At 35.8% G+C, this 18,943-nt stretch overlaps 1 protein-coding gene across 8 annotated transcripts in view; it reads left to right on the top strand.

Annotated features, from left to right (window-relative positions):
* ABCC9 (ATP binding cassette subfamily C member 9) overlaps positions 1-18,943 on the top strand; it is a 144,038-nt gene that overhangs the window by 62,143 nt on the left and 62,952 nt on the right. For 5 of the 8 annotated variants that reach the window (XM_005253288.5, NM_020297.4, NM_005691.4 and 2 more), the window contains 5 exons: positions 3,558-3,630; positions 6,554-6,659; positions 14,807-14,845; positions 16,230-16,331; positions 18,229-18,313. In XM_005253288.5, coding sequence (XP_005253345.1) covers positions 3,558-3,630; positions 6,554-6,659; positions 14,807-14,845; positions 16,230-16,331; positions 18,229-18,313 — 405 coding nt within the window. The remainder of the gene's footprint in view (positions 1-3,557; positions 3,631-6,553; positions 6,660-14,806; positions 14,846-16,229; positions 16,332-18,228; positions 18,314-18,943) is intronic. The other 3 variants (NM_001377274.1, XM_005253289.5, XM_005253290.5) reach the window with 3 other exon arrangements.

Here is an 18,943-nt window from a genome sequence, read left to right as displayed (position 1 = left end):
TCCCCAATATACATACCTCCTACCCCCATCATTATAGAACCAGCTCTAATGTGCTTGATGTGCTTAGGCATGCCCATATCTTTGTAAAATATGTAGTGTTGTCCTAAGTGTCTATGTGCTCTCAATTTACTTGAATGTTTTCTTGATCGTTTGCTTCTGCTAAGTGCACCATTGTATCTTGTAGAATGTGTCGCTGCATTTTACTTATCCCCTAGTGATGTACACTGAGCTTGCCTCCATCTTTCCTCTATCATAAACCCCGTTATGATGATCATCATTGTACCTATCCTTACATGATCCTTTGCAAAGACTGATTTATATATTAGCTGACTTTCCAAGTTCAGACATCTAGTTGGGGAAGTCAGGATTTTAACCCTGCTGGTGGGGAATTTAGTGCATTTTGTAAAAGGCAGGAGGGAATGGAAGTGTAAATGGCAGCAGGAGAAATTAACTTTAGCCTTCCTCCTCTTCTATCTTTCTTGTATGGATGTTGTTCCTTCTTTTACTTCAATGTAGCACCAAATCAGAAGGTGACATTGCATTCTTTTAGTTCTTTCCTGCTACTTTCAGACCATAACCTTTCCCTGTCACACTCATAAAGCTATGGTATTTTCTACCTGTTTTCACATCTATTATCAGAGGACCTCATAATCACTCTTCCACCTTCACTGTAGATGTGAGTATGTTTCCTAGTCCACCGTTCTGTCTTTGTATGTGCCACACATAGTTAGGATTTAAACTTCCAAGGGCACAGTCTATCCAGTATCCCAGCCTGAAAATCCCCTAATCTACTGTCACTCCATTTACACAACCTCACCTGTATCACTGTGTCACCTTCTCCACAGCATTCAGCAGCCTGGTTATACATGTGTAGAAGGCATGAGGTTGGATTGCTGCAGAAAGGTACTAAAGGATTTTTAGCATTCTTCATCATATCACGAATTGAAAGACCCTCCTTTCACTTTCACTCTTTTTAATTTTTCATTTATACCACTGAATAGCCATAACTCTAAATCAGAATTTCACCATTGTGTGTTCTACCTTGGGTTGAGTCTTTTAGCACTTACAAATTTTTATTTTAATTAGAAATTATTCATTGATACCACACATATAATTTAATTTCACACTCATATAATTTGGATTCACACTTGGTCACCACCTGGAACTGCATCCCCTCTATCTTACTCTATTAGACTAGTCAGTCACTGACAACAAAATCCTGGTACCCAAGTTTTCTCAAGCCTTTAATTTCACGGTCATTGTTTTTTTTTTAACACCATTGAAACCTTCAATATCTTGAACTCCTTCTTTTTCTCCCAGTCCTTTAGTACCTTTCTGCAGCAATCCAACCTTATGCCTTCTACACATCTATAACCAGGCTGCTGAGTGCTATGGAGAAGGTGACACAATGATATAGGCCAGCATGGCCACAGAGTTATTATCTCCAACCTCAGCTGACTCCCCTCCCCCAATAGCTATCTGCCATCCTTTTACATGTCTCTTAGCAGCATTATTTTCCAAACCTACAGTAGCTATGCAGCTGTCACCACTCTATTCCCACCTCCTTCTCTCTCCTTTTGTCTCCTCTTTCTCCAGATCACCTTAGCTCCCAATTTGCTGAGAACATCAACGGTGTCATGTAGGGTCTCTCTTAGTTTCATGCTGGCCCTTGTCCACAAGCATCTATTTTTGTGCCTCTTTTAGCCTCCTCACCTACCCTAGGAGAGAAAATGGAATCTTCAGCCTCTGAGGCTGTATAATTTCTTTGCATGCCATTTGTCATTTAACCATAATGACAGCCCCAGCCACCTCTGCCCCAGCTAGCTCTATTCATCATTTCCTCTGACATATTTTACGGTTTTTTTGATCTTCAGCCTATTCTCACTATAGTTCTTTACCTACAAATGCTTTCATTGACATTCAGTATATTTTACAAAACTAGTTAAAAGGCCTCTTTTTCCAAAAAGTTTTTTGACTCATCCCAGATGTAAATGATTTTCTTTATGAGCTGCTGTTGTACTTAGTGTCTGTGTGTCCCCTCTCTTTGGTACTGAGCCCATAATGTCGTGTCTTGTACTCACTTCTTTCCATGGTTTACTTACTCAACTGATTGCAAGCTTCAAGAGAGCAGGGAGGATGCATTATGCCTTCTTTGTAATCTATGCCAGCCTAACACAGTCCCTCAAACAGAGTGAGGATGATCAGCCATATTTACAAAGCAATCAGTAATTCGAATCCAGCCCTTCCATGCGACCCTCCTTCCATGACTAATTTCACACATAACTGTGTGATGGATATTACTAAATGTTGTGCCATATATATCACAAGCTACAGAAAACCTGCATGGACAAACATAAGCTAGCCTTTTCAAGCAGTTTTTCACTCTTTAAGTTATTCATTTTATGAAGGGTTTTGGGGGTTATATGTAGTTATAATTCAGATATCACAAATCCATTCTGCAAAATTCCTAAACAACAGTGTGCTTAGAAATTTCATTTATGGTTTTGAAATAAAACATTAGTTTATGAGCAAAGTGTATCTTCAATTTCTCCTGATTTTTAGGAGCCTTTCCTCCCCTCATCTGTGTCTACTTCATCCTTCTAATTCCTGGGTTCTGTTACTGTTTTATTTCCTATTTGTATAACTGGTAAAACTATTAAGTCCACTTGAAGCTTGTTAAAACAAATAGATTGTGTGGGATGAATAGAAGGTATTGTGATTTTTCCTGATTATTGACGTTTATACCACAAGCAATGTTGCCTCACTTCTTTTATTATTCTTTACTCTTTTTTTTTAACTTCAGTGAATAGTTGGCCTACACAGTTCAGGAAACTCATTGATTACAAAATTTTCCTCCTCAGTTAATGAAGTCATTTTGCTGGAATAATTTGTGGTTATTTCTCTGCTTTATTTTAATCACTAGGATTTGGGGAATTGTCTGGCAGTGAGAAAATAATTAATGTAGAGATTTCATTGGGAAATGTTTGGGATAATTGTCTTTTAAGAATGTCCATATGTAAACTATCTGGTAATCCCAAATTTTCAGAGATTTTAGCATTCTTCATAATATCGCAAATTTAAAGACCCTCCTTTCACTTTCATTCTTTCTAATTTTTCATTTATACCACTAAATAGCCGTAACTCTAAATCAGAATTTCACCGTTGTGTGTTCTACCTTGGGTTGAGTCTTTTAGTACTTACAAGTTTTTATTTTATTTTATTTTATTTTTCCAAGATGGAGTCTCGCTCTGTCACCCAGGCTGGAGTGCAGTGGCGCGATCTCGGCTCACTGCAGCCTCAGCCTCCCGAGTAGCTGGGACTACAGGCGCCTGCCACCACGCCCGGCTAATTTTTTGTATTTTTAGTAGAGATGGGGTTTCACCGTGTTAGCCAGGATGATCTCGATCTCCTGACCTTGTGATCCACCTGCCTTGGTCTCCCAAAGTGCTGTGATTACAGGCATGAGCCACTGCGCCTGGCCTACAAATTATTATTTTAATTAGAATTATTCATTGATACCACACATATAATTTAATTTCTGTATTTTTATTTTGTAGGTCACAAATGGATACTTTTCATGGGGCAGTGGTTTAGCTACATTATCCAATATAGATATTCGAATTCCAACAGGTAAGAGTTATCTGTTATGCATTTTTGTAATTGTTCATGACCGTAACCATAGTTTTCCAAGATAATTGAGCCTAACAAAAAGATACTTTTTAAAGACATAAATATTATTTATGATTACCTATTTGCACTATTGTGCTTGCGAGCCACTGTGTCACTGTGGGAATGGCTGGAAATGATAAGACCTGCCTTTCACAGTGGCGTCTATACCTTTGGACAATTATTTACTGTTCATTTGCTGATTTGGGCAATTTAAACAGTGGGGTGGTTGATTTCACTTTTTGTTTGAGAAACACTTTAAAGAAAGAGTATATGAGAAACTTATTTTCTGTTTGCGAGAAATACTGATGAAGTTTTCAAGATACTTAAAATTTAAATATCCAATAATTATATGTATTTAATATTTTTAAAAAGTTTTATTGAAGTGTAATTGATCCATAAAAATTGCACATATTTAATGCTTACATTTTGATGAGTTTGAGCATATGTGTATACCTGTGAAAACCATCACCACAATAAAGGTATTCAATATGCAATCGCTACCAAAAATTTCCTTGTGTTCTTCTGCTTTTATTTTATTTTTTGTGGGAAGAACACTTAACATGAGACTTATCCTCTTGACACATTTTAAAGTACACAGTACTATATTGTTAATCGTATGTACTATATTGACCAGCAGATTTCTAGAACTTATTCATCTCACATAACTGAAATTCAGTAATAACTATTGAACAACAATTTCCCATTTTCCCTTTCCCCCATCTCCTGGAACCCACAATTCTATTTTCCGTTTCTGTGAGAAGAAGTGTCTAAAATTTTGACTAAATTAGTTAAAATACCTAAAAGAGTCAAAATTTTAGATACCTCCTAGAAATAGAATCATACAGTATTTCTCCTTCTGTGACTGTGGTGTCCTTCTGTGATGTCCTCTAGGTTCATCCATGTTGTTGTGAATGGCAGGATTTCCTTCTTTTTATAACACTGAATAATATCCCATTGCATATATATACCACATTTTCTTTATTCATTCATCTGTCAATGGACATTTGGGTTGTTTCAGTATCTTGGCTATTGTGAATGATGCTACAATGAAGATGGGGGAGCAGATATCTCTTTGAGACCCTAATTCTGATTCGCTTGCATAAATACCCAGAAGTGGGATTGCTGGATCATATGGCAATTCTATTTTTAGTTTTTCGAGGAACCTCTATACTGTTTTCCATTGTTGGCTGCACAATTCTACATTACCAGCAACAGTGTGTAAGGGTACCAGTTTCTCCACATCCTCACTAACACTTTTTATCTTTCATGTTTTTTTATTACAGCCATCCTAACAGGTGTGAGGTGATAAGTCATTATGGTTTTGATTTGCATTTCCCTGATGTTTAGTGTTGTTGAATGCCATTTTATATATACCTGGTGGCCATTTGTACTTCTTATTTGAAGAAATATCTCTATTCGGGTTCTTTGCCCATTTTTAAATTGGATTATTTGTTTCATTTCTGTTTTAGTTTTTTTTGTATTTTATATTTTGGATATTAACCTCTTATCAGGTAGATAGTTTGCAAATATTTTCTCTCATCCCGTAGGTCTCCTTTTCATTCTGTTGTTTCCTTTGCTGTGCAGAAGCTCTTTAGTTTGATGTGGTTCTACTTATCTATTTTTGGTTTTATTGCCTGTGCTTTGGTGTGAAATCCAAGAAATCACTGCCAAGTTCAATGCCAAGAAGTTCTTTCTTTAAGGATTTTTATAGTTTCAGGTCTGACATTTAAGTTTTTAATCCATTTTGAGTTGATTTTTGTGTATGGTGTAGTATAGGCTCCAATTTTATTCTTTTGTGTGTAGATATCCAGTTTGTTGAAACCCCTTGCTGAAGATCAGTTGACTGTATATGTATGGGTTTATTTATGGTCTCTCCCTTCTGTTCCATTGATATATGCATCTGTCTTTATGCAAGTACCGTACTGTTTTGATTACCGTAGGTTTGTAATATATTTTGCAAGCAAAAAGTGTGATACCTCCAGCTTTGCTCTGCTTTCTTAAGATAGCTTTGGGTATTTGGGGTCTACTCTTTCCATATGAATTTTGGAATTGATTTTTCTATTTCTGTAAAAAATGCTGTAGGGATTTTGATAAGGATTACATTGAATCTGTAGATTGCTTTGGGTAGTATGGACATTTTAACAATATTAATTCTTCCAGACCCTAAGCCCAGAAGTCTTTTCATTTTTTTTGTTTGTGTTAATTTCACCAATGTCATAGTTTTCAGTGTATATGTTTTTCACTTCCTTGGTTAGTTTTATTTCCAAGTACTTATATGCTAACAACAAACTATCTCAAATTAAGAAAACAATACTATCCACAATAGCATCAAAAAGAATAAAATATTTAGGAATAAACCCAGTAATTTTTCCTTAAAATGTCTCTATAATTGAATAGAAATATTTTTGACCTGGCCTTATGCCAGGTCATTAGGTGAAGATTTTTCTATTATAAATGCAAAACAAATTTATAATAGGAACAGATTTTTCTATTATAAATGCAAAGACACTCTCTTCTTCAAATAGAAATTGGAGAAGAGAGTTATCACAATTATTTATTTTCATCAAAACTGCCCTTTTTATTCTGAATGAATTGAATATTAAAGTTAAAACTAATCTCGATAATCTAGGCAATTATTTCATTACTTTCTTTACTGCTATCAGCTATTTTCATAGTTTTAAAAATAATAAATCATTATATATATATATATTTTTCCTTTTCCAAAAAGACTTATCAGAGAAAGGAGCTGTTTAGAATACCTTACTGCTGGAGATCAAAACTGGGCCATTGATTGTAAAACATTAGCTTTTTCTAAATGTGTTTTGATGTTATTTCACCAAGAATCCATCTCATTCTGTAGTTATCCTTTGTTTTGCTTTCCTAGGTCAGTTAACCATGATTGTGGGCCAAGTAGGATGTGGGAAGTCCTCTCTTCTCCTTGCCATCCTCGGTGAGATGCAGACATTGGAAGGAAAAGTTCACTGGAGCAAGTATGTATATTTTTAGTTGGCTTCCATTGCTATGTCATACATCTGATAATCTTCCAAGGAAAGAACTTAGACAAATACATTTACATGTTCTGACTCTGAAGACCACGCAGAAATAAGCACAGCTTTAAAAAAAAAATTGATGGAAACCTTAAAAGTCATAAATAAAAAGTTACAAAACAATTTATTACAAAGGTTGTTTATAATAGTATAAACTAGTATATTGCTGAGACAAAAGTAAGGATGGGATTGTAAAGATAGGTTTTTAAAGTTAAATGGGTAACACTTCAAGAAATAACTTAAAAGTTTATTCTATAACAAAATAAGTTATGGAAAATGTGCATTATTTATAAGGCTTAAATAGAAACAGTGCCTTAAAGTTTCAATGTTCAGAGAAGAAATATCAAATGATCTTTTCCAAAATCTGTATAAGAAAGTGAAAATCAACTATTTATCCTTATACTTAAACTAGATACTAGAAGCGTCTAGTTGGAGATATGAATAGCTTTGATTAGTGCAATTCTAAAGACATGGAAAAGAAAGTGCATCTTCCAGACATTTGAATGATTGCTTCCAGCATGATGTTTCTTCTAGATATTTGAATGGTGGTCAAAGCACATTGTGGTAATAAAGTGATTCAGAAATATGTTACATAATTGGTTAATAAAGAGTAAATTATACTTATTTAGTTTGGCCTACTTAGTAGACTCCTCGTAAGTAGTTTATGGATACACTGGCTACAGCTGATCTAAGAAATTAGGCTATAGACCAGTGGTTCTCAAACGGGTGTGATTTTTGTCCCCGGGGACATTTGGCAATGTCTGGAGACATTTTTGGTTTTACACTGAAGCATTGGGTTGCTACTGGCCTGGTGGATAGAGGCCAGGGATGCTGCTAACATCCTACAGTGCACAGGACAGCTCCCATACCAAGGGATTCTCTTGTCCCAAATATCAATTGTGCTGAGGTTGGGAAACCCACAGATGTTCTTTCATATCATTTTGTATCTACTATCATGAATTCCACCGTGGCTGAGTTTGCTGTTTACATACACAGACATCTCTCAAGAATGAGAAGACTATGGGCCTTTTAAGAGTAGATTTTATTTTAAACTCCAATTAAGAAAAAAAAATTCTTGGTTGTGAAATTCAGACTGAAATTAGAAGTGTAAATCCTGTTTTCAGTGTCATTGGCAAAAGAAGAAGACTGAGAATTGTTGAGTGTACATTTTATCCCTGTCGAGCAAATCTAGCAGATAGCCTTGCAACTGTTTAGCGCATACCCAGCAGAGAGCTCAGTGAAACATTGCTACCTCAGTTTGCTTCATGGCACTAGACAAGGTTTCCCCTGCCACTATCCTCAGGCAGTAGATGGTGTCAGTCACTAACCTCAGGCACTAGATGATGTTCCCCTAGCCACTGTCACTTCTATCTTGGATGAAGAAGTAGATCCCACTGGATTTAATTACATTGTGTAGCTTGTACAACCATAATTAAGTTATTTGGGTTTTGTTTTTATCCTGATTTACCATCATTAAAACAGAGAGAAAGAATGACAGTGACAGAAAAGGCTTGAGATTTTATTTTCATACTACCAGGAAGATCTCCTAATCTGGCCTGTTCCAAGTGTAATTTAACTTTCCAGGCCCCAGCCCCACTTGAGCTAAATTGACCCCCAATATTATCATTCATAATTATCATTGTGTTAATGAATAAAGAAATGATGTGAGGATGCAGAAAATATTCTTTATAACCTATTTATTTTCTTGCTTTCCTAAGCATGTATACGATTTATATTGTATCTTATTTCATAAAGTTTTGTATTGTTTTATTTAAAATAACATAGTAGAGTTTGAAAGATAAAGAAAATTTTTAAATATTGTTTAAATAATCATCTGAAGTTGTAATAGACAGAAATGCATGTACTGAAGTCCTGTATAATTATAAAATATGGGCCACAAATTTCTGAACTTCATGAAAGCTAGGCAAAGAAGGAAACGTGAGGAAAAAAACAGAAACATTTACTCAGTAGAGATTGATTTTCTCTTTTTGGAGAGAGCTGTGAAAGAAATCTGCCCAGCTGTGGTTTATGCCTATAATCCCAGCACTTTGGGATGCTGAGGCAGGAGTATCACTTGAAACCAGCAGTTCGAGACCAGCCTGGGCAACATAGTGAGACCCTATCTGTACAAAAAAATTTAAAAATAAGCAGGTCATGGTGATGCATGCCTGTAGTCCTAGTTACTTGAGAGACTGAGGCAGGAAGATCTCTTAAGCCTAGGAGTTTGAGTCTGTAGTGAGCTGTGAATGTGCCACCACACTCCAGCCTGGGCGACAGAGTGAGACCATTTCTCTTAAAAAAAAAAACAAAAAACTAAAGAAATATCTTCCATATACCTTATAAAAAGTCAATAAAAGGTTAATTCTTAATGTCTTCAATATTCCTAAAATTTATTCAAAAGTAAATTCCATGTGCCAATTATTACAAATAAAATTCAGAATATAATACTAGATTATAGATTATATAATAAATGTTATGTGAAGGTTTAGAGGGCAGGCAGGAGGGGGTGAAGGATGTGGTATGGGTAGTATCAGAACAACACAGTCTAAGTATGCAGATCTTCAACATCTAGTTTGATCCAGGAATGAAATTAACTACACTTGGAAAAATACATAAATTGTACATCAGTTGGACCATCTTCCATGTTTAGTATGGAATACAGATATTTTATTTCTTAGTCCTTTCTTTTTCATTCAACATTTACTGAGTACCTCCTTCATGCCAAACACTGATTTAGGTATCAAGGATATAGAATTGAACAAGACAAGACAAGTCTCTATCTCATGCGGTTACAGTCTAGAATGTGGCCTGTGTATAAGTAATCAACAAGAAAAAGACATAATATTAGACTTTGATAAATGCTGTGACAATGATAAAACAAGGCAATATAGTAAAGGTACTATACCTGTGAGGTGTGTTTGAGGATCCTAAAAGGGTCTAGAATGGCTGGTAAATACTGACTGATGCAGGTGCAAGCTGAGGCTACCTGGAAAAGGAGGAAAGCATTCTGGGTATGCTGTGGAGTTAAGATTTTGTTCTAAGTTCAGTGGGAAAATATTGTAGAAGTTTAAGTAGAGGAGTGATTTACATTTTTGCAAAGATATGATGTACAATTTGAAAAAATGATTCGGACTTGTGGTGTGAAGAATGAATTACAGAGGCAAGAGGGAAAGTGCGGGAAACCATTTAAGAGTTCATTTCACTAATTCAGATGAGAGATGAAGGTAGTTTGATGTAACATGGTAGCTGTGGAATGAACCAAAGTGAATAGATTCAGCATATACTTTGGAGTCAGCCAGCAGGATGAAAGTGTAAGAAGGAAATTGAGATAATTCTGAGTATTTATAAAATTCCTGTAACCTAAAAATTATCTTTTTATGAGCATTTGCCTTACTAGACAACAATGCTATCTCTTCGCTGCAGAAAGGACCGAAGTTTTCTTCAAAAATGTTTAAGTTGGTTCAACACACAAACAAATGAAAATGTAATATTCTAATAGATTGAATAAGTTAATGCAAATTCTATTTTTATTTAATTAAAAGAATTACTTATTTTTTTCATAATATCCTTAATATCTGATAAAACATATTTTAGGATCAAGAAGATTCAGAGGATACTGACATTCTTTTAAAGAGTTATTTGTAATTACTCTTTTCATTCCAGAAACAAAAGCTGTATGCCCAGTCCAATAAAGGCATATAACTATTAATTAAAGCTAAGCTAATTTAGAAATTATTGATATTCATAAGCTGCTGCTGTGTAAATGCTTAGAAGTCCTTTACTTCAACAGACTGAATTCGTTTTTTTTAAAGCTCAAAACAAACCAAAACAATAAACTAAATGATATGGTAAGACACCAAATACTTTGCTATCATTCTTTCACCATTACATGTGTCTCTGATTGCATAAATTTTATTTATTTATTTATTGAGACAGAGTCTCACTCTGTTGCCCAGGCTGGAGTGCAGTGGCATGATCTTGGCTCACTGCAAGCTCGGCCTCCTGGGTTTATGCCATTCTCCTGCCTCAGCCTCCTGAGTAGCTGAGACTACAGGTGCCTGCCACCATGCCTGGCTAATTTTTTGTATTTTTAGTAGAGACAGGGCTTCACCGTGTTTGCCAGGATGGTCTCGATCTCCTGACCTCATAATCCGCCTGTCTCGGCCTCCCAAAGTGTTGGGATTACAGGCGTGAGCCACCGTGCCCGGCCATAAATTTTATTTTTGAATGTGTCCTCATGCACAGGCATGAACAAAATCGAGTAAAGTACTCTGACCTACTGCAGCAGGAAATATTTACTTTGGGCCGGAGAAAAGGCATTGTTGTTCATCCAGCACACACCTGTGTGGGTAGAACGTGGAACATACAGATGCCGATAGTTGTTTCCTTGGGAATTGCTTCCTTTGACCTAGTCTGACATATTGTAGACCCAGAAGAGAAAAGATGAGAGAGAGGAGAGAGGAATGAAAAAAATTCTCCAAAATTGTCAGAATGCCAATGTGCACATCAATCTTGCATCCAAGTGTGCTTCATATTTGTTGAAAAACAAATGTTCTGCCTGACTGAAGTCCTTTCCTGGTTGTCATGATAAACAATAATTTCTACTGATATCTTAGGAGCTAGAACTAAAATGCCTTATCTGATGAATAGTTTCAGAGGAGTGTCCAGAATGCTTTTTAATTGTGGTGGTAATGATGTGAGAAACAGCTTGTCATTTATCTTTGTTTTCCTTTTTTTTTTTTTTTCTTTTCCCTCTCACCCATGCCATCAACCATCCTCCTCTTCAGGCCCCTTCTGTCCTGACATTCTATCTCCCAACATCTTAGTGTAATCAGCTTTGTAACAGTGCTTCAATTATTTTCAGACAAATGGAGGAAATATTCCTTTTCATGTGACTTTCCTGGCATGAAGGAATAATAATATTAAGTCAGCTTTCCTGGGTCAGATGTAATATATCATGTTTGTGCCAGCATCTAGTTTCCCTTCTTCCAAATGTCATTCCTGATTTAAATTTGCAAAAGTCACTCTCCCATTCCATAATATTATTAACCATAATACTTGGAAGTTGCTAATACACTGTGTCGACTTTAACTTTTACTCTGGGAGGAAAATACACACAAATTCTACATGGAGAGGTTTTCAGAAGTGAAACTTTATTCTGTTTTCTAGAAGGGGATTTTCTATATGACCTCTTTGCATTCTCCTGTTGTCTTGAGTGCTGTAGAGTACCACATTGAATGGTGGAGGATGAGTCTAGACAGAGCTAAATCTACTTCTTTATTTTGGAAGAGAAATTATATAACCTTCCACAACTGAATTTGATTAAACATATTGATATGTGAGAGGGCCGGAATAGGTAGTCTCTGGAAGTTAAGGATTATAACATTATTCATAAAAATGTTAGTGAAATAATGGGTTAATTTGTTTTTGGAAGATGATTACCTACAAATGAGTCTAAGTTTACCTCTTTTTTTCTTTCTCTGAAAGAAAAGGAAAATATACGTAAATCCTTCAAGGAGAGGTTTTCAGAAGTGAAGATCCCCTATGTGCTGTTTTGCTTTTTTCAGGACCTTACTGCATTAATTAACCCTTTTCTCTTATAAATGTCTTTATTTATTGCTCTTCACACTCCATTATTCCCCACCCATTTTTTAAATAATGGTCTTTCTTATCTCTCAATCAACTGGAACATTTCTCTTTTTAACGACCTAGTCCACCCACACTTAACCTCTGTTCTTCTCTTTTACTCTGTGCATTGCAACCTGGATGAGAGGGTCTCACCAATGACTGCCTAAGTGCTAACTCCCAATAATTTGTCCTCAGTCCTACTTCTCCATAGATTTTGAAACTCTTCACCCATCGACGACTCCTTGAAATCAACTTGGCTTCTTGGTTTCCGTGACCCTTGCATTTATTAATTTGTTAAAAAATATTTGTTGCACACCATTTATATGCAAATCATTGTATTAGTTCTAAGTTGGGGGAGAAATAAGTGAACAAGAGAAGGCAGGCCCCTATTTTCATGAAGCTTACTGTTTAGCAGGGGAAACCAAGAGGAAGTAAGAAAATAATTTTATGGTTATTTTATTAATGTTTTATAAAGACTAGGAAGAAGTACAGTGTTTTATAAGAACGATTATAGGTGACTTGACTGAGTCAAATCTGTGAGGTTGGCAAAGGATTTCTTTTATGATCTCCAGTCTTGTTCCCTCTAGTTCAGTTGTTACATTCTGTGATCACAGTGATATTTCTAAATTGAACCTGTATCTCTCTCTTGTTTAAACCTTTTTCAGTAGTTTTCTTTTACTTTTAGGAAAAGTTCAAGCTCTATAAAATGGATTATGAGCCCCTTCATTATCTGGCTGTGCTTACTTTTTAAGTTCATTGCCATTTACACCTACATTTCAGCCATGCTGAATATACATCACTTCTTTGTGTAATCAGGATACCTCATGGCCTTCTAATACATATTTTCTCTGGTCTGAAGTACTCTTGGCTTTTTTTTTTTTCATCTAGCACACTCTTAATTTTCCCTCTGACATCAACTCTATTGTTTACTCTGATTTGCTAAAAGTGGCTTGGTGCTCTGGTTCTTTGCTTCTTTGTTTTTGGTTGTTGGTTCTTGATCAGTGCCCTACTACCATCTTTTACCCCACCTGTCTCAGCCCTTATTCCCTTATTATGCTCCCACAAAAGTGAAAGTGGTGTGAAAGAAGGAGTGGATCTTTCTTGTTTGCTGTATCTCTAACGTGTGGCACTAGGAAGTGATCAATGCATATTTTTTAACTGATACTGAATAAATAGAGTCGGAATTTAACCAACCTTTATTGAATAGATTGATGAATTCTTAATCCATATCTCTGCGTTGGGCTGACATTCTCAAATGTCCAACAGGTATTTACACATGTCTAATGGGCATTTCCACTTGAATGGCCAGAATACAAATTAACACATTCATTTCTGCCACATACTCACTCTTCTCTCTTCCCTGTCTTCCTCAAATTAGTTAAAACTAGTGAGGTCACCCATTGGATTTATACCACAGAAAACAAAGTCCAAATTTCTTGTTATCTAAAGCATATTGCGTGGAAAATATTATTCATAAAAATGATCATTTCCCTATTTTTTATCAGTAACTTAAATCAGGGAACAATTATTATTGGGAGGAAATTTTTAGTCTGAGGTTGCCTTTTTTGCCTCTGTCAGCCATCCCAAGATGTCATTAGCAGTGTGCAGTAGTGAAAATGATCCTTAGTAACTCTAAACCAAATATCATTAGGTAGCATAATTAGGTAAATTTTCTCCACAAAAACATACAACATTTTGCAAAGTCAAATAGAATCAATTTTTGGAGTTTCTGTAGGCTTTAATTATTTGTATGGTTATTGAATTCACGTCTGTAATGTGTATGTTATTGAATTCAACTGACCCTAAATTATAAAAAATTAGAACAATAAAAGAAATAGGTCTTCAGGTGTCTTTCCTCATAATACAGGCATAACAAATTGTGACCAAAGCCCACTTTTTACATAAATCATATCAATAATTGATTCTACTTAGATGTAGTTTGGTTTCTGGTGCATGTCTGTTTTTCTTACAAGCTCCTGAGGGGCCAGTGTGTTTTGTGTATCTTTCGTGTTTAGTGCCCAAAAAGTATTTCTGCTGCTACCTTAGGGTAGCTAATTTGGAATTTAAATTTATTGAATTCAAATTTTAAAGGTTGGAAGGCCTTGGAAATACAGAGTCCTTATGAAACGGGAAACTGTATTCTAGAGGGATTCCCCAAGTTTACAGCTGTTTGGAGCAGGGTTAGCACTAGAACCCAGTCATTGTATGAACCAAAATTTTTATGAAAGAGAACAGTGCTATCTATGTTTTAGAAGCTTACTAAGCAATTATTTCCTAGCTGATGAAGACATAAAGAAGAATACTACTTATCTGGTTTGTCTTTGAAATTAATATCAGAAACCATTTGGGAAATGTGCTCTTTAATATGTCCAGTGTTTATTGTATCTCTTACCTGACGTGTATGCACATTGGTTCTATATTTCTACTTCATAATTAATGAACATTGTTTGCCATACTTGCAGTGTAAATGAATCTGAGCCTTCTTTTGAAGCAACCAGAAGGTATTATTTCTATTTTAACCTGAGTTTAATAAGAATAACTTCCTTCCTCAGACTTTAATCTCTTTAATCTCATTTTGCTTACTCTGATAATGTATAGTTATTTATTAAAGTGTGCTAGCATATTTCCAACAGCAGTGGTTCGCAACCTTGACAAGCTGCTAAAAGAACTAATTTACCAAACAAAGTGGCTCCTTGTGTCAACTGTTTTCCTCTCACTGAGTCACACGTGTCCCAACTTTGGCTGAAACTCAAACTATCCTCAGTAAACTGGGTTTGGGATTTCATAAAATAAAAATGTAAGAATTAATACATATATTGATTATGAGTTGAACAGTGATGGGATCCATCTGTAAGGTAGAGATGAAGAGCCAAGTGCTTTATCTACTTAAAAGGAAAAACAAAAACAAAAACCTTAAAGAGCTGAGTGGGGTGGGGGGGAAAGCAGGCATGTCAGAGGTTGGGAACCATTGTTTTACTCTGCATATGATTATCTCAGAGACTGCTAGCATACTATATAGTATCATGTCTTCTACACTCCTAAGACGTAATGTTTTAGAAAGATCATTGAACATTTCTAGCTACTCTCTTTTTTAACCTTGCTCTCTTTTAACCCTATTTCCTTCATCAGTACTTTACAGATCATGAACTAACTGTGGAAATCTGACTTTTAAACTGACCTGCCCTTCCCATCATTCTCTTCAGCTCACATGTATTTTCCTAACTATTGGAAATTAAAGTCTGATGTATAGACATCTGGTAGAATTTGCAAGTCAAAAGGGGGGAGGTAGTTATTTTTAAAATATAAGCGATTTCAATATATTTTGAAATATGCAGTTTTTACATGCACGATTTCAATATTGAAAGTTTCAGGGACTCCTTAAGATATTCTTTGTTTTGAAATATTTACATATTATCTATTACCATAAAATATGTTAATGTGATTAAGCCACAAAGCCATACAATAATTACAGTATCAATTAACATCTTAAAGTTTGCATGTAGAATTTATAGTTAATAAAGTGCTATTAGTATAAAGTAAAATGTCTGTAGCTATAATCTTTTAATTATTTTTTAAAAATTATAGTCATTTTAGAAAAGGAAATTTCAATTAGTTGTTTAGACCATAAAACACTTCTTCAGTGTAGAAAACCAAACTTTATACATGTGACATTTTGATTAAATCCTAATCCCTTTAATTTAGGTGGCATATTTAATCATTTCTTAATAAGGTTGGTGGTCTTTAAATTTTTCTCTTTTAGAAGTTTTCCATTTCTGTATCTGAGATAGTTTACTAATTTTATTTCCCCTATTTATAGTAAAATACATACACGCACAGTACCTTTGCATAATCCTGGTGTTTTTTTTTTTCTTTTTCATTTTTCAGTAGGAACAGGTACTCTGTGGCATATGCAGCTCAAAAGCCTTGGCTATTAAATGCTACAGTAGAAGAAAATATTACTTTTGGAAGTCCTTTTAACAAACAGAGGTAATTTTGAGCATATAAAATTTAGAACCAAAATGGCAACTCTTTCTGACTCGTGTGTTTGGGAATGAACAATGGTTTCTGGAACCTTTACATCTGGTATTTTCTTTCCTGCTGGCCCCGTTTTCATCCTCATCACCAAGGTCTTTTGAATCAATTCTTTGAAGAGAAGCCTCACTGGAAGTTCCAGCCCATCTTGGACCCTTATTGAGAACAATTTGTACACCAAAACTAAACAGCAATTGAAGTGTGTATGTGTGTGGGGTGGGGAGGGTAAGAGTGAGGATGTGTTGCTTAGGTTGTTGGTGAGAAGATAGAGAAGGAAAAATTCAAGTAAATTTCACAAAGGAAGTTTAATTGTGAAAAGAAGAAGAATATAGGACCTGAGGGGTCTGGTGACTGGGAACAGCCAGAATACACCATCTTTCAAGCATCTTTTAAATACCACCACCACATAAGAAGGTATGACCCTTTCCCTGAGCCACTCTTGCAAGCGTGGGTCTTAGGACCATAAGCTGGGTCTTGAAAATTAAGGAGAATAAAGTAAGTGGAGAGGCAAGAGGAAGGGGGAGGGAGGAGAAAAGTAGACCATATGAAAGACAAAACCTTTAGGACCTGGAGCAAACCAGACAGAAAGATTCAGGAGGCTGAGACCAGATAGTTGGGGGGCCTAAAAGCCAATTGGCTACAATGATGTGCATTCTATATATACAGATTCACATATGTGCATATATACATATATATGGAGACATTTAGGAGTCAGTTGGAATAATTATCCAGGCATGCAGTGTGTGTTGCCTACACTTAGGAATGACGGTAGAAATATAAAAGAAGGGATGGTTGAGAAAAAAAAATTGAAGAACAACAATGGACAGATATCAACAGGAAGAAGAAGAGGGAAGAATGAAGAATGACTCTACTACATTAAGATGAACTGATTAAGAAAATAAAATCATTGCCATTTCCCCCAGCATCTTCAATCCCCATGCTTCCTTGTACTTCCAGTTCATCTGATTTCCAGTCCCAGCCTTATATGAACTTGAGGACTGTCAGTCCTCACTATCTCCCTTGTCTCCTCTCTTCAGCATGCATGACAGTGTGGAAGGGCGCCCACTCACAACCTCTGCTTTAGCCATAATGAACCTCCTGCAGTCCCTTACATTCATCATGAACTTTTTTACTTTCTCAAGTTCCTTAAACTTCGTTACTCATTTTCTTCCTGAAAACTTACTACTCAACTTTCTGAACACAGTTTAAGCTTTGCCTCCTCTGATACTTCTCAGAATGGTCAGTCATTTCTTCATTTGTGTTCTAGGAGTGCTTTATACTCACTTCCACTATAATACCTAACAAGGTAAACTTTCATCGTATATTTTTGTATCAGTCTTCTGCTCCGTGAACTAGCTTTTTAAGAGTCGGAACCCAGCTGGGCGTAGTGGTTCACGCCTGTAATCCTAGCACTTTGGGAGGCTGAGGCAGGCTGATTGCCTAAGTTCAGATGTTCGAAACCACCCTGGGCAACATGGTGAAACCCTGTCTCTACTAAAATGCAAAATAATTAGCTGGGTATGGTGGTGCACATCTGTAATCCCAGCTATTCAGGAGGCTGAGGCGGGAGAATCACTTGAGCCCAGGTGGCAGAGGTTGCAGTGAACCAAGATCGTGCCACTGAACTCCAGCTTGGGTGACAGAGTAAGACTCTGTCTTCAAAAAAAAAAAAAAAAGGGGGGGGAAGTAGTACTTATGTATCTTTGTATCCAGAAATGTAGAGCAGAGGCTGGCATATAATAAGTGATTCAGCAAATGTTTTATTTCAACTTCCAAAGTATTGAATTTGGCACTTAGTTTATGGACAATGTATTAATTGAGATCTAAAAATTCAAAATCATTTCTCCCAAAGGTACAAAGCTGTCACAGATGCCTGTTCTCTTCAGCCAGATATTGACTTATTACCATTTGGAGATCAAACTGAAATTGGAGAGAGGGTGAGCTATATATAGTTTCATTAAGCAATGAACAAAAATCTAGAAAAGTCTTCTGGTTGTCTTTAATCTTTAATAGAGAATCATGAAATTTGAGAGCTTAGGAGTTGTATGTTGTCCCAGTAAGAAGTTCCAGAAAACCAAGGATGGGAGTCCTTTGATGCCACTCTTTCTTACGTATTAATATTTATTGAGTAATCACTGTATACTTAACATGGTACTAGTCACTTAAGAGTTCTCAAAGAAAGGTGAAACATAGTTCCTGGCTTTGACCAAATGCATTTTTGCTTACGTGGAGCTTGCTGTAATAGGTTTGAAACTAAGATTACTTTCCATAGCTTCTCCCAACCTTGTTGAAAATCTGTTTATTCTTATTAAAGTGCTCTTTTTTCTTTGTGTAACCATGTTTTGCATTGATGTCATATTATTCAGACAAGCTGAAAAATAGTTATACCTATAATCTTTAGAACAACAACGTCTACAATGTTTTAATCGTTGTAAGTCCTGGGCACAAACTTTATATGCATTATCTACTTTCACAACAAATCTGTGTTATGGGTGTTATCGTTATCTGCATATGAAGCTGCAAAAATCAAGGCTGAGAGAGGTTAAGGAACTTGCACAGTTGCCAAG

This window comes from Homo sapiens, chromosome 12, assembly GCF_000001405.40.
Source record: "Homo sapiens chromosome 12, GRCh38.p14 Primary Assembly".
Classification (NCBI taxonomy): domain Eukaryota; kingdom Metazoa; phylum Chordata; class Mammalia; order Primates; family Hominidae; genus Homo; species Homo sapiens.
This window is presented reverse-complemented; position numbering and strand designations above follow the sequence as displayed.